General features: G+C 46.7%; 1 protein-coding gene across 14 annotated transcripts in view, besides 1 other annotated feature; it reads left to right on the top strand.

Annotated features, from left to right (window-relative positions):
* Nucleotides 1–17,028, top strand: part of PTPRN2 (protein tyrosine phosphatase receptor type N2) — a 1,048,768-nt gene that overhangs the window by 288,352 nt on the left and 743,388 nt on the right. The window lies entirely within an intron of this gene.
* Nucleotides 16,072–16,814: an enhancer, noted in NCBI's record as "H3K27ac-H3K4me1 hESC enhancer chr7:158075350-158076092 (GRCh37/hg19 assembly coordinates)". NCBI's record gives its function as "activates a minimal SCP1, AML or CMV promoter by ChIP-STARR-seq in primed H9 embryonic stem cells {active_cell/tissue: H9 hESC(primed)}" and the evidence as "EXISTENCE:reporter gene assay evidence [ECO:0000049][PMID:30033119]".

Here is a 17,028-nt window from a genome sequence, read left to right as displayed (position 1 = left end):
ACAAAAATTAGCCGGATGTGGTGGCATGCACCTGTAGTCCCAGCTACTCCTGAGGCTGAGGCAGGAGAATTGCTTGAACCTGGGAGGCAGAGGTTGCAGTGAGCCAAGACCATGCCATTGCACTCCAGCCTGGGCAACAGAGTGAGACTCCATCTCAAAAAAAAAAAAAAATTGCTTCCTGAGAGCCCTGCGTGCATCTGCAGAAAGGTGGGAAGGACAGACTTGCATGGCAGTTTCCCCAGGGCAGCCCAGGTCTGCAAGCTATTCAGTAACCACTGAGATTTGTCTCGGGAATATGCCAGTCTTGGGTGGGATAAAAAGCATTGATTAGTGTCAAAACTTCCCCTCCAGTTTGAATTTAATAATGCACTGACATCATCGCTCACCAGACTGCTGTGACGTTCTGTCCATTAGTGTCTGCAGGGAGGTCATGAACATCCTGCTGGATTTGAAAACGGGCTGAGCTGCACCCTCCTTCCTGTGCGGTTCCCTGAAGGCCCCTCCCAGGACAATCGGCAGTGGCTGTCAGGGCCACAGAGGCATCGTGTTCCTGTGGCTCAGGAGGTATTTGGGTGCTGGCCCAGGAAGAAGTGATGACATGAATTTTACCCCTGGGTCTGGGCTGTGCTGTTTTTACTTTTTTGAAGGTGGGAGGTCCTTGGACCCAGGGGCTCAGCAGGAAGAGGAGAGAGGACAGGCAACCCCAGGAGGTGCTTGGAGGTGACATTGTGGGGCCTGATTTCCTCCTGATGTGCCCGAGCACAACTTTGGCACATCCTGCTGGGCCCTTGCGCCCTCCTCCAATCTGAAGCCTCACAGCTTTTTCACTTGGGAAGTTTCTCGGCCATTCCTTCAGAGGTGGCCTCCCCCGCAAGCTCTTCATTCTTTTCTTCCAGATTCACGGCACATAAACTTTGTTATGTGCACAAAATTATTAAAAATTACATAACATTACCTTCAGGCCTTCTATATAAGGTATAAGGAAACACAAGTAATTTCATGTTTCGACTTGGGTCCTGTCCCCAAGATATTTCATTATGTACATGCAAATATTCCAGAATAAATCCAAACATATCTGAAATCCAAAGCACTTCTAGTCCCAAACATTTCAGATGAGGGATATTCAACCTGTGTCATATTATTTTATTCCTTTTTGTGTGCCTGAAACGTTTCATAATAAGAATAAAAGGACGAACAAAGCAAGCAAAAGACATTAAAAAGAAGAAAATAATGAAGACAAGAGCAGAAAATACTGAAATAGGTACGAAGAAATGAGGGCAAGCATCAAGAACACAAACAGCAGAAATATCTCTGGGTCTTTGAAAAGACTTACAGAGCTCTTTTTACCGACAATGACAAAAAAGGGCATAAGTACACAATTAATGAGAGGAAAAAGGGAATTCCACCATAGGTAAATTGAATTCAAGAATCGTAGGAAAACACTACTAATGACTTTGTTCTAAGAAATTTGAAAAGGCAATTAGAAAAAAAACCTGTAAGTTGATAAAAGTGACTCAAAAAGTAAAGAAAACTTGAGTTAGTCTATATTCATTAAAACATGCATTCCTTAAATTTTCAGTCAACTTGTTTTGTAACTTCAGTAAGAGTAGTCCACATTCACAATAGGAAATTCATTCTGTCCACAAACCATCCTATTGTGATATTCTCCAAAATATATGTGGAGAGGTGAGGGAACAGCATAACTGGGGTATGTGGTTAGGTAGGATGGGGGTTAGTTATTTTAAACATAGGCACGTGTGGTGTGCACCTGTAGCACTCTTAACCTCTAAACATTGGCCATTCTCTGTTTTACAAGAAACCTGATTATATTTTTTACTAAGTCCATATTTCTTTGGGACCTGTCCTTAATGACTCTGAAAGACCCCTCCTTACTGCTGGGTTTTGTAGTCAAAGGAGAAATGAGGGCTGTACGTGAAGACCCTTCCCAAGACAAGATGCTTCTGTGTCTGATGAAGAATGAAGCCTCAAGTCAAGCTCACCAGGTCATGGGCTGAGGGTTGCTGAACCACAAGGAGATACCGTATCACAAATGAACGGACTTTGCAGTGTCATCACTGTGGCTCCAGGGGCGTCTTCCCTTCCCAAAGGGTTTCTGGCAGATCCCTTTGAACAGAGAGTTTCTCTGGTACATTTCAGAATAGGTTCCCAGATTGTTAACACCAGGACAGAACGGCTGAAAGCCAGAGAGTTAGCAGCTCTCTCTGAATGATGATCAATCTGAAATGAAGAGAAAGTCATTCTGTAGCTAGGAAACATGATCAGTTTTTAAAAGCTTATGCCCAGCCATTGGCAGAAGCTGTATATGTGCTGTGCTGGTCCCTCCGGGACTGGATCCTGAGAGCTCCCAGGATTTTCACCGTTACCGCTTCAGAAGCAGAGGAACTAGTAAGGCGCACGTTTGTGTTTGGATGGAATGCTATCCATGGACATTCCAAATGTTGCCCCCGGCCACATCTGCTGGTCTCTCCTGCCCCACCACCCCAACTGCTCCACCACCCAAGCTCCACCTCCCTTAGAGTTCCCTGAGTGCCGGGCGTGTCCACCTGTGGTCTTCCCATGGTCTTCCTGTGGGCCAGGTGGCCATGTGCCTCTGTGACCACAGCCTACATGCTTGGCTCCATCTGCTGCCTCAGAAAGGCCAACTGCCACCCAGAAGAGAGTGGGTCAGGAGGGTTGAGATGAAGTGAAACAGGAAAAGTTCCCTTATTCCCCTCACAGGGCGTGCGATGGAGGAGTGGGTTGCTTCTTCAGTGCCCCACTGCTCCCACCTGCAGGGGAGCATACAGACGGGCAGGCTGTGGGCTCAGACCCCACGGCCGTGTCTAGGGGTGAATGCTTACAGCTCCTAAAGCCCCAGTGGGCGTGTGTTACAGGGTGCTTTTTTAGTTTCGCCGTCTGTGGGCGGCTTGTGTTAACCAGCTCAATTAGACCCTCTGCCTTATTGCAAGGACAGGGGGCTTTCTGTGTCCTGGAGTTTCTTGCCTTGGTGTACTGGAAGAATCAGATCGCACATGGGCTTGGAGAATGAGCGCAAGGTTTTATAGAGTGGAAGTAACTCTCAGCAGGAGCCAGAGGGAGATGGACTGGGAAGGCAGTTTTCCCCTGGAGTCGGGCCGCTCAGCAGCCAGGCTCTCCTCCAACTACCTAGTCTGCTGGTGCCTGTCAGTGAGTTCTTCTGCCGGTGTGCTCCTCTTGACATCCAGCCCTTGTGTCTTTGCCCACTAGGGTCTTGGGGAGCTGCTTGTGTCTCTGCCTGCTAGGGTCTCAGGGTTTTTATAGGCACAGGATAGAGGCATGGTGGACCAGGGTGGTCTTGGGAAATGCAACATTTGGGCACAAAAACAAAAATGCCTGTCCTCGCCTAGGCCCATGGGAAAGGTCCAGGGGTAGAGCCCTTGCCAGAGACCCGCCCTTCTCCACCCAGCACTTCCCTGCCCATCTCCCATATCAGAAGCAATCCAAACTCATCTTTCTGTTTATTTAACTAAGCAACCATCTCAGACAAGGTGCCTGATGATGTGAAAATGAAAAGTGAGAAAATGAGGATTCGACAGCTCACCTCAGCTGCTAGTGCACAACTGGGTGCTATGGAGATGTGGGGCAGCATCTGGGCAGACAGGCAGGGTCAGCGGGCGCCGTGGGCTTGGACCCTCAGAAAGGCGGGTGAACCGTGCGGATGGAGAGTGGTGCAGTGTTTGGGCAGACAGGCAGGGTCAGCAGGCACCGTGGGCTTAGACCCTCAGAAAGGCAGGTGAACCACGATGTGGTGCAGTGTCTGGGCAGACAGGCAGGGTCAGCGGGCCCCATGGGCTTAGACCCTCATAAAGATGGGTGAACCACGCACATGGAGAGTGGTGCAGTGTCTGGGCAGACAGGCAGGGTCAGCGAGCTCCATGGGCTTAGACCCTCGGAAAGGTGGGTGAACCACGCGCATGGAGAGTGGTGCAGTGTCTGGGCAGACAGGCAGGGTCAGCGGGCTCCATGGGCTTAGACCCTCGGAAAGGTGGGTGAACCACGCGCATGGAGAGTGGTGCAGTGTCTGGGCAGGCAGGCAGGGTCAGCGGGCCCCATGGGCCTAGACCCTCAGAAAGGCGGGTGAACCACAATGTGGTTCAGTGTCTGGGCAGACAGGCAGGGTCAGCGGGTGCCGTGGGCTTGGACCCTCAGAAAGGTGGGTGAACCATGCGCGTGGAAAGTGGCGCAGTGTCTGGGCAGACAGGCAGGGTCAGCGGGCCCCATGGGCTTAGACCCTCAGAAAGGCAGGTGAACCACGATGTGGTGCAGTGTCTGGGCAGACAGGCAGGGTCAGCGGGTGCCATGGGCTCTGACCCTCGGAAAGGCGGGTGAACCATGATGTGGTGCAATGTCTGGGCAGACAGGCAGGGTCAGCGGGCGCCATGGGCTTGGACCCTCAGAAAGGTGGGTGAACCATGCGCGTGGAAGGTGGTGCAGTGTCTGGGCAGACAGGCAGGGTCAGCGGGCGCCGTGGGCTTGGACCCTCAGAAAGGTGGGTGAACCACGCGCGTGGAAAGTGGCGCAGTGTCTGGGCAGACAGGCAGGGTCAGCGGGCCCCATGGGCTTAGACCCTCAGAAAGGCAGGTGAACCACGATGTGGTGCAGTGTCTGGGCAGACAGGCAGGGTCAGCGGGTGCCGTGGGCTTGGACCCTCAGAAAGGTGGGTGAACCATGAGCGTGGAAATAGAAGCACACTGAATTCTGGGCGACCCGTGCTCCCAGGTCTCCTTGTGGCTGGATGTCTTTCCTGCCTCTCACTCTCCCCCGGGAACACTCCTCCCTCCCCGCTTGCTCCTGCCTGGCCTGGCTCAGCCCTGCCTCTCGCATCCTCCTGTGTCAGAGGCACACGCATGTCTGATGCTGTTGCTCAGGGATATCAGTTGAGGAGCTGAGGGCCGGGAATTACGTGACTTATTCCCAAATGAGTAGATGGAAGAAATGGAACGTCTGTGATTCCAGGCCAGGAGGGAATAGTTGACGCCAGAGTAAACCTTTAATTTACATGAAAAACTTACAAAAAATATGGGAGCCAGACATGAAAACAACAAACTCTCATGTAATTTCATCACTTTGGGGGAAAACAAAAATCCTTCTTATTTTTATGTATTTGAGAATCAAGCTTTTGTGTCTCAGAAGGTCCTTAGATATTCTTGTAGGTTCAAGTGATGTTGAGAAACTGTAAACAGCAAGCACAACATAACAATGTTTCCACCAGCAGCAGATCGCGTACATGATGGTGGTCCCATATGGTTGTAGTGGAGCTGAAAACCCCTGTCACCGACTGACCTTGTGGCCCTCATGATGTCACAGTGCAGTGAATTACATGTTTGTGGTGATGCTGGTGTAGACGAGCCAACTGCACTCCCACTTGTATGAAAGTCTAGTCTAGCTGTGCACGGTACATGTGTATTTGCTGTACTTTTATCATTATTTTAGAATGCACTCTTTTTACTTATTAAAAAGCAAAACTAACACTCACACAGACTCAGGCAGGTCCTTCAGGAGATATGCCGGCAGAAGGCATTCTTCTCATAGGAGATGATGGCCCCACATGTGCTATTGCCCCTGAAGACCTTCCTGTGGGACAAGATGTGGAGGTGGAAGACAGTGATATTGATGAGCCTGCCCTGTGTAGGCCTAGGCTAGGGTGTGTGTTTGTGTCTTAGTTTTTTTTTTTTTAACAAAAAAGTTTTAAAAGTGGAAGAAAAGTGTAAATAGGAAAAAGCTTATAGAATAAGGATATAAAGAGACTATTTTTATACTGCTGTACTATGTGTTTGTTTTAAGCTAAGTGTTATAAGAAAAAGTTAAAAGTAGTTAAAACATTTATAAAGTACACAAGTTACTATTTTTTTTTTTCGAGACAGAGTCTTGCTCTGTCACCTAGGCTGGAGAACAGTGGTGCGATCTCAGCTCACTGCAACCTCTGCCTCCTAGGTTTGAACGATTCTCCTGCCTCAGCCTCCCGAGTACCTGGGATTACATGTGCACACTACCACACCTGGCTAATTTTTGTATTTTTAGTAGAGACGGGGTTTAACCATGTTGGCCAGGCTGGTCTTGAATTCCTGACTTCAGGTGATCACCTGTCTCAGCTTCCCAAACTGCTGGGATTATAGGCGTGAGTCACCGTGCCCAGCCCAAAGTTACTATTTAAAGGTAATTTATTATTGAAGAAAAAACATTTTTATAAATTTAGTGTAGCCTAAGTATACAGTGTTGATAGTCTAGAGTGGTGTACAGTAATGTCCTCGGCCTTCACACTCACCCACCCCACCCTCACTGATGCACTCAGAGCAAATTTCAGTCCTGCAGGCTCCATTCATGGTCAGTGCTCTATATAGCTGCACCATTTTAATCTTCTTTTTTAGACTGAATGTCACTCTGTTGCCCAGGCTGGAGTGCAGTGACGTGATCTTGACTCACTGCAACCTCTGCCTCCGTGGTTCAAGTGATTCTCCTGACTCAGCCTCCCTAGTAGCTGGGATTACAGGTGCCTGCTGCCTCGCCAGGCTAATTTTTGTATTTTTAGTAGAGACAGGGTTTCACCATGTTGGCCAGGCTGAACTCAAACTCCTGACCTCAACTGATCCACCCACCTTGACCTCCCAAAGTGCTGGGATTACAGGCGTGAGCCACCATGCCCGGCCCATTTTTATCTTTTATACCATATTTTTACTGCACCTTTTAATGTATAGATGATACACAGATACTTAACCTTGTGTTACAATTGCCTGTAGCATTCAGCACAGTAACTTGTAGGACAGATTTGTAGCCTAGGCACAATGGGCTTTACCATCCAGCCCAGGTGTGTGGCGGGCTGTCCCATCTGGGGGTGCGTAAGTGCACCCGTGATGTTTGCACAGTGACAGGATCACCTAATGAGGAATTACTCAGAATGTACCCCTACCATTAAGCAATGCAACTGTACTACTCTTAGGATTAAAACTACATGGCTTACCTGTGAATGCTTTAAAAGCTTGCATTTTCTTTTCTGATGCAACCCACAGTTTTTACCTTTTAATTTTAAAGTATGAGGTCAGTTAGACTTCATCCCTATTTAAAACTGAAAAGCTTGATTTAGGGCATTCTTTAGTGTTAATGGAAAAGCCTCACCAGGAGGCGGGCTCCATCTGCTTTTGAACATCCTGGAATAGGGGCAGTCTTTGTTTAATAGAAGCTTCATTTCAGACAAGGAAGAACCGTCACCCTCAGGAGAATTAGATGTCTCAACAGAGGAGGAAATTGAGACCTATCGGAACTGGAAGCTTACCAGATGGCAGCACAGAAAACCCTGGCATTTCTGAAAGAAGCAGGAAGGTGGGGAGAGGAGGGATCCATTTGCGGGCTGTATGGAATGTAATCTTGTCTTAAGCCTCACTAAAAGCTAGACAGGTCATGGAGACAATCAGGCTTTTATTCTTTGAAATAATTCACATTACAGGCTTGTGTATTACTGGCCTTATCAAATAAAAGCCTTTAGACTCATGTGGGCAGATAATTACAAATTGATGTCTGGGCCTCTTGTTTTGGAAATGGCTTTTACACTCCCCTCTTCTTTCTCTCCCTCTTTCATCTCTCTCTTCTTGAGTTAAACTTTCTTGTGATTTTGTTAGGGTTCTGGTAGTGTTAGCTGGCTCTAAGAGTAAATGGCAAAGCTATATGAAGAAGTCACTTTTATTTGAAGTCAAGAATCGAGTTACAAAGTGCAGGAACATTGGTGCAGACAGGGAATTTCATTTAACACTGTATTCAGCCTCAGAAATTATTACAAATCAGAAGTAATAAGTCAGACAACCAAAGACAGCAGCACTGTCCAGGGTCAGTTTCATCTGTCAGGGTTGTTTCTTGCCACAGAACTCTATTTTACTTTACCCAGTGAATCTTAACTTTAAAGACAAAAACCAATGAATAAACACTTTTTGGAAAACATTAGAAATCAACCAAAATCTAGTTAATTTATAACAATTGGGGGAGGGGAAGCTCCTAGAGCTTAGACTAAAAAAACCCAAACAAAATATAAATTCCAATAAATGATATCCTCATATCCCTATTGTTTCTCCAGATCAACAAATATGTGTGATTCTGTATCATATGACTTTGTATATCAAGGGAAGAGTGGATAGTATCAGAAAAATCCCTAGAACCCTCAAGTGTGAAAATGATTAGACATCTTGAATAATACAAAGCAACACAGCTAGATCCACATCAAAAGAGTCATGAAGACCAAGTGGGTTGATCCTGGTGAGTACATTTTGAAAACTGTGAAACACAAATGGAAGCTGTTACATCATCACCAAGTGGGGTGGAATGAAGGCAAGCCTTGGAAACTCCTCCTGCCATGAGGTTCTCAACTCCCCACCCCAGAGCAGAAATGCCCCATCTCTGCATCCTGCTCTTGGCTCAGCAGACCTCCTCCTCCTCTGTCAAAGAGCATCCACATTTTATCTGCTGACTTCTTAAAGAATCAGATGCTCCTTTCCCTGAATATTTTAAAGAGAGTCACATAGTCAACATTCGTCAGAGATGGACATCAGCAAGGCAGCAGGAGAGGACTCTCCATTGCTCATCCATCACAGAAACAACAATTTGAACATCTATCTGTGTGCAAAAATACCTTCACAAGTGCTAAGGAAACCAGGTGAGAGGTGATAGCACCTGGGCATGGCACAGAAATAAGATGCACTGAAAAGGCAGAAAAAACAGTTTTGCATGACTGGGTCCCCTCTCACCCAGGCCTAGCAGCATGTTGTGGTGAGAGATGCCCTCTATGTGGGGGAAGGAAAGAGAAGTGAGTACCAGACTTTGCTTCTAACTCTAAAACTGCCTCCTGATCCCCCACCAACCAAGTTAAACCCAGCACCAGACATGCCCCCATAGCTTCCTACTCCAGGCTGGTACCCAAGGACGGAGGCTTCAGGCCTGCCCCAATACCAGGTAGGATCATGCAGGCCCAGGCCCCACACCTGCCCAGTGGACTTAGTCTCTGGGCCCACTCCGCATACAGGTTGACCCCATTGGCCTCAGGCTCCACATCATCTCTGGCACCAGGCTGGCCCTGCAGCTCCATGGTTAGCAGACAGGACCCAGGCCTATCCTGGTAGGCCCCAGCACTGAACCAGCCCTCACTGACCTGGGCTCCAGGAGTGTCCCTGTGGACTCAGGATCCAGGCTGGTCCCCAGTGCTCCAGGCTCCAGAACTCAGAGTCCAGGCCCACTCCAATAGACCCCTGGTGCCAGCCAGCCCCTTTGGACAGAGGCTCCAAGACCACTTCTGCAGACTTAGGCTCCAGGCCAACCCTTGTGGATCCAGGACCCAGGCTCACCCCCACAAATTCAAGCTCTGGGCCCACCTTAGCCCCAGGACAGCCCCTTCAGACTCAGGTATATGGCCTACCCTAGCACCAGTCCTGCCTTAACGGATGCCAGGCTCTAAGTTCACCCTTGCAGACTCAATCAACAGGTCCACTCCAGTGGATCCAGGCCAAGGCTCACTCACCTGCTAACCCAGGCATTGGACCAGCCTGCGTGAGGACCCCAATAGCAAGCCTACCTATGGAGCATGCCAGATGACGCCCAGAATCTGCATGGGCTTATTGATGAAGGGCTTACCCAGGCGAAGCCATTCTACAAAGAATAGAATAAGTCCCTACTTCCCAAAATGTGCAGACATCAACGTAAGGCAACAACAACAACAACAACAACAAACATGAAAAACCAAGGAGACACAACACCACCAAAAACCACAATAATCTCCCAGCAGCAGACTCCAAAGAAATGGAGATAAACAAATGGCCCGATAATTCAAAGTAAGTGTTTGAAGGAAGTTCATGAACTTCAAGAAAATATAGAAAAACAATTCAATAAAATCAGGAAAACAGTAAATGACTGCAATTAGAAATTCCACAGAGAGGTATAAATTATTTTTTAAAAATTCTAGAAACTCTGGATGTGGAAAACACAATAAATGAAATGAAAAATGCAGTAGAGAGTGTCAACTGCAGAATTGATGAAACAGAATCCGTGAACTTAAAGACAGGTTATTTGAAAACATACAGTCAGAGGAGAAAAAGAGTAAACGGGAATGAAGAAAGCTTATGGGATTTGTGAGATAACACCAAAAGATCAAATATTTGAGTTACAGGTATTCAAGAAGGAGAAGAGAGACCAAGGGACTGAAAGCATATTTAAATAATATGAGAAAACATTCCAATTCTGGGGAAATATATAAATATCTAGGTACAGGAAGATCAAAAGTCTCCGATTAGATTGAATCCAAATAAGACTATACTGAGATATATTATAATCAAACTGTCAAAAATCAAAGACAAAGAGGATCTTAAAAGCAGTGAGAGAAAAGAAGCAAATCACATATAAAGGAGTTACAGGAAGGTTTATAGCAGACTTCTCAGCAGAAACCCTATAGGCAAGAGAGAGTAGAATGATATATTCAAGGTGCTGAAGGAAAAAAATGGCCAACCAAGAATACTGTACTTGGCAAAGCTGTTCTTCAGAAATGAAGGAGAGGAAAAGACCTTCCTAGCCAACCAAAAGCTGAGGGATTAATCACCACCAGAGCTGTCCTACAAGAAATTCTAAAGAGAGTTCTTCAAGCTGAAAGAAAAGAATGCTAACTAGCAACATGAAAACATACAAAAGTATAGAACTCACTGATAAAAATAAGTATACAGTCAAATTCAGAATAATACTGTAATGGTGGTGTACAAATCACTTAAGTCTTTAGCATGAAGGTAAAAAGAGAAAACTATCACAGTGATAGCTATGAAATTTCTTAAATAATAGCTACAACAAAAAGATATGAATTGTGACATTAAAGTTTATGCGTGGGGTGGGTGGAGTAAATGTGTAGAGATTTTAAAAATGTGATCAAAGTTAAGCTGTTACCAACTTAGAAAAGCTTGCTATAACTGTAAGATATTTTTATGTAAGCCTCATGGTAACTACAAAGCAAAAACCTTAGTAGATATGCCAAAGATAGAAAGTAAGGAATCAAAGCATATCACTAGAGAAAATCACCCAATCATAAGGGAAGACAGACACAGAGGATGAAAGGAAAAAGGACTTAGAAAATACCAGAAAACAATGAACAAAATGGCATTAGTAAGACCCTGCCTGTCAATAATTACTGTGAATGTAAATGGATTACATTTTCTAATCAAAAGACAGAGTGGCTGAATGGCTGAAAAATAGGACCCAACTATATGCTACCTACAAGAGATTCCCTTCACTTTTAAGGACATAGACTGAAAGCGAAGGGATGAAAAAGATATTTCATGCAAATGAAGACCAAAAGAGAGTAGAAGTGCTATACTTAAATAAAATAGACTTCATGTCATAAACTGTAAAATAAAGTCATTATACAGTGATAAAGGGGTCAATTCATCAAGAAGATATAATAATTATAAATATGGGCTAAAAACTGGAGAACCTAAGTATGTAAAGCAAATATTAATATGTCTGAAGAAAGAGAGATGGACTGTAATGTAGCAGTAGGGGACTTCAATACCCACTTTCGGCAATGGACAGATCATTCAGACAGAAAATCAATAAGGAAACATCAGTCTTAAACTATACTTTTAGACCAAATGGACATAACAGATATATACAGAATATACCATATAATGGTAGCAAATACACATTCTTCTGAAACACAGAGAACATTCTCCAGGATAGATCACATTATGCCACAAAACACATTAATAAATTTAAGAAGATTCAAATCACATTAAGCATCTTTTCTGAACATCCTGGTATGAGACTAGAAATTAATAACAGGAGGAATTTCAGAAAATTGACAAATATATGGAAATTGAACAACATGCTTCTGAACCACCAATATGTCAAAGAAGAAATTAAAAAGAGAATTAAAAGATCTCTTGAGATAAATAAAAATAAAAACAAAGCATACCAAAACCTATGGGATGCAGCAGAAGCAGGTCTAAGAGGGATGTTTATAGTGATAAATGCCTACATCAGAAAAGAAGAAAGAATCCAAATAAACAACCTAATATTACACCTCAAGGTACTATAAAAAGAACTAACTAAGCCTAAATCTAATAGGAAAGAAATAATAAAGATCAGAACAGAAAGAGATTACATCGAAACTAGAAAAACAATAGAAAAGATCAATGGAACTAAGAGTTTGTTTGTTGAAATGATAAACAAAATTGAAAACCTTTAGACTAAGAAAAAAGAGAAAAGTCAAGTGGAATGAGAAATGAAGGAGGAAACATTACAACAAATACCACAGAAATGTAAGGGACCATGAGACTATGAACAATTATATGCCAAAAATTGGATAACCCAGAAGAAATGGAAAATCCCTAAGCATATGATACCTACCAAGAAAAATTATGGAGAAACAGAAAATCTGAACAGACCAATAACAAATATGGAGATTTGATTAGTAATAAAAAGTCTCCCATAAAAAGAGTTCAGGACCTGATGGCTTTACTGCTGATCTTACCTAACATTTAAAGAAGGACTAATACTCATCCTTCTCAAACTCTTCCAAAAAACTGAAGAAGAGGAATACTTCCACACTCATTTTACGAGGTCAGCACTACCGTGATACCAAAGCTGACAAAGGCACTATAAGAAAAGAAAATTACAGGCCAAAATCCCTGATGAACATAGATGCAAAAACCCTCGAAAGAATACCAGCAGACTGAATTCAACAGCTCATGAAAAGGATCATTCACCACGATCAACTGGGATTTATCCCTGGTATGCAAGGATGGTTCAATATATGCAACTCTATTAATGTGATATGCCACATTGAGGGAAGGATAAAAACCATATATCATCTCATTAGATGTATAAAAAACATACAACAAAACACAACATCCTCTCATAATAAAAACACTCAATAAATTAGATATACTGTAGAAGGGATGTGCTTCAACATAATAAAGACCATATATGACAAACTCACAGATAACATCATACGCAATGGTGAAAAGCTGAAAGCTTTTCCTCTAAGATCAGGAACCAGATAAGGATGCTAACTCTCGCCACTTCTTTCAACACTGTATTGCAAAACCTAGCCAGGGCAATTAGGCAAAAGGAAGAAACAAAAGGCATCCAAATTGGAACAAAAGAAGTTAAAATTGTCCCTGTTTGCAGATGACATGATCTTACATATAGAATCCTAAAGATGCCACCAAAAACACTGTTAGAGCTAATAAATTCAGTAAATTTGCAGGATACAAAATCCACAGACAAAAATAAAGAGCATTTTTATACACTGAGAATGAACTGTCTGAAAAAGAAATCAGATAATAATCCCATTTATAGTAGCTCAAAAAATATAAAATACTTAGGACTCCATTTGCCCAGGGAGCCTGGAGAACATGTGAGAGCTGGAGGGCATGTTTCCCGATGGCTGTTGATAAATGTTCATTCTCGTGGTCTGCCCTGCTGCTTGTTAATCCCAACACCAGGAATTGGTTGTGTTTAGCTTGCTGCATAGCAGACACCTCTGTGTGGCTGGATCCAACCTCAGAGGTGTGTGGAGCTCTCTCTGTGAAACCTTTGGTGTCCTCTGAGGGGTGTGGACACAGGTATAGAGCATCTCTACTTCCCTAGCTCAGAGGCGAATGGGGTTGTCACCTGTCTCCCTAACCCAAGGACTGAGGTTTTGCCGGAGTTAGCCGGTGTAGCTGACATAGACAGCCCGCGCTCTACGCTGTTCCACTCCTCATTCCACCCTGATCAGACAAGGTTGAGAGCATAAGGGCTCTTCACACCTGGCCTCTTACAGCAGCATGCTCTGTGGTGTGGGAATGGCAGGCCTGATGAGGAGAAGCTGTGGAGGCAGGGCTGGGACACAGGATGCTGGTGTCAGAGGAGGGGGCTCAGCTGCCTGCTGTACCCAGGCAAGAGCAGGTCCAGCCTCCTGGGGCCCGCCTGCAGGAGCAGCATGGATGGAGGAGGACCTGAGCGCTCAGCTCTGCTTGTGCTGGGGTTGGGCGGGAGAGTTGAAGCCGGCGTGGGCACATCCCTGTCCTTCTGAGGAGAGTGGCTATTGTCATTTGCTGGTCTCTCCTGCAGCCTTGCATTAGTTAGCAATGCTTGGCCTTTGGAATGTCTTGTTCACCAGGAGTCCTGGCACCTTCTCCTGTCCCTACATAGCACAGGATCCCCCAGACCACTCTTTTGTTTGGCCCATGGGACCGCGAGTGCCCTTTTCTTCCCACACATTCTGGGCAGGAGCGCAGTGAAGGTCATTTCACAATGGCAGGATACATTTGCAGCATGGCCCAAAGCCTGGGCACGTCAGAAATATTGTATGTTTTCCACTGAGAGCAACAGCAAGACAGATGCAGGGAGAAAAACAAAACAAAAAACAAACAAAAGCTCCCAGGGAATTACTGAGATGACGAGCGTGATGAGGAGGGTTCCTGTCATCCTTTTTGTACCCAGTGGAGGATAACGTCAGCATATGGGCACAGCCGGGCTCGTGGGGGCACAGGCAGACTGCTCACCCTATGCAATCTAGGCAGGCGGCGTGTGCCAGCCAGGCCAGGCATATTGAGGCACTGCTGCTTTAAAAGTCCAGCTCAACGAGCTCAGGCAGCATGTGGTAGATACACATATGTAGTAGAAGTTCCAAAATTATTGGTGATAGTACATTCATCGCCTGCACCTGCTCACTCCATTGGATGCGGGCAGAGGAGCTGGGTGGGAATGCCTTCCTGCGGGAGGTGTGGGTAGAGGGGACAGAGGTGGGATGGCAGGGAGGGTCAGGAATAAGCGGAGTCCGTACGCCAAACTATGGAGTGGGACAGGAAGGGGCACCTGAGAGCCTCCTAAATTCTCATTAGGAAGTTCAGAAAGAGTCCATAATTTCTGTCAAAACCACCGACAGTGGCTCTGCCTGAGCTCAAATTCTCACTCTTCCTATTACCAGAGTGGCACTGGGCAAGGGTTTGCAGAGTGGATCTCTGTCTCAGCTTTAGTACCTGTGAAATGGGTGTGTCCCAGCAGCACTTACTCATAGAGCATCAAGAGGGCCAAGTGCATTCATGTACACTGACTCGGAGAGTGCCTGGCACACACACAGTGCCCAGTGCCCGGCTGACTTGGAGAGTGCCCAGCCCACAACAGTGCCCAGTGCCTGGCTGACTCGGAGAGTTCCTGGCACACAACAGTGCCCAGTGCCCACCAGCTGTTTGTCTGGATTCTCTCTAAATGTAGGACGCTGCCAATACTGAGTCTTGTGAGTCCGGTGCACACTTGGATTGCACCTGTGCACGACACACATTGGACACAAAAACACACAGGCAAACAAGTGTGTGTGTAAACGCGCTTGAGAGAATTGAAGAGCATCAGTCCATGTTGGAAAATCCAACGACATCGAATATAGCTATGAACATGTCTTTCAGGCGTTCTTAAACGTGTGATTGATTAACGTGTGATCTGATCTTGATGCCCGAACCCTGGAAATGTTTTAGGAGCAGGACACAGCCCTCCTGAGGAAAAGGCTCCTACGCTGGCTGCCTTTGGGTTTGCTTCTCTGTGAGGTGGCGATTCTGAACGACGTGGTGATTCTAGGTCTGTGCTCACAGTGTGTTCTGAGACATGCTGTCACCCCTCTGCATTTCTGGTGCTCAGGAGGCCATTAGGGAGGGGCTGGTGGCTTTGAGTGGCCTGAGGAGTGGTGGTGGCCTGTCTCTGTGGCTGCCACGGCACTGCTGATCACCTGCATGGGCGTGTCCACTAGGGCTGCGGGTGGGGTGAGGTCCGGTCATTATGCCATTGGCGGCCAACACCGTTGATGATTAAAGCTTCCATCAGGGTGCCGTGGACATGCTGTGACCCCGGCGGGTGGCCACAGCAAGGTCCCTATGTCCTTGTCACCTGCATGCCATTCCCTCCACCATGGGCAGCTGCAGACTCCACGACGTGGCCAGTCAGAGCTCCCGTCCCTGCGGCAAGCCCCTGGTTCTACTGAGAAGCCTGGTTACCCTCTCAGTGGTGGTCTCAGTGGTTTTGCTCTGTCTCCTGCCCCGTCTTGGCTACAAGAGGCTGGGCTCTGGGACGGATGGCAGACGGTGTGAACTGCAGACGGGGCCTGCTCGGTCACTGCTCCCTCTCCTCTTGGGGGTCTGGGGAGCTGCCTGAGGCTCACAGCCTCGGTTCATTTCCCACATAGGAGTTTGTTTACCTGTGACGGCTGCCGCCTGACTGAAGTACTTGCTTGGTTTTCTTATTGTGGCGAATACAAAAGCATGGCATGAACGTAACAAGAAGTGTTTTTTTTCATGCGTGTTGTCGAATGCGTCTTCCCCTGACATCAGCGCTACCTTTCCTCAGTTCTCTTCTCTCAAGAGTGTTTTCCTCCTGAGAGCTGAGGCCCCTGCATGTGGGAGCACGAGGAGGGATCAGCCATCTGTGTCCGGCTGCTGTGCGTGTGGGAGCATGAGGAGGGACGAGCCGTCTATGTCCTGCTGCTGCGTGGGAGCACGAGGAGGGACCACCGTCTATATCCCGCTGCTGTGTGGGAGCATGAGGAGGGATGAGCCCTCTGTGTCCCGCTGCTGTGTGTGGGAGCACAGGGAGGGACAAGCCATCTGTGTCCGGCTGCTGTGTGTGTGGGAGCACGAGGAGGGATCAGCTGTCTGTCCGGCTGCTGTGTGTGGGAGCACGAGGAGGGATGAGCCGTCTGTGTCTGGCTGCTGCATGTGGGAGCACGAGGAGGGATCAGCCGTCTGTCCGGCTGCTGTGTGTGGAGCACCAGGAGGGACGAGCCGTTTGTGTCTCGCTGCTGTGTGTGGGAGCACAAGGAGGGATCAGCCGTCTGTCCTGCTGCTGTGCTCACTTCAGCAGTGCTGTCTCCTTCAGAACTCAACATGCCCTGCAGAGTAAGTATGGCTGCCACAGCTCACAAACTCAGCCGCAGCCTCGACCCCGCTGCTCTGCCCGCGGCTTCCTGGCTGTGGACATCTGAGCCAGGCCAGACTCCTGATC

Source organism: Homo sapiens, chromosome 7 (genome assembly GCF_000001405.40).
Source record: "Homo sapiens chromosome 7, GRCh38.p14 Primary Assembly".
Taxonomy (NCBI): Eukaryota; Metazoa; Chordata; class Mammalia; order Primates; family Hominidae; genus Homo; species Homo sapiens.
This window is presented reverse-complemented; position numbering and strand designations above follow the sequence as displayed.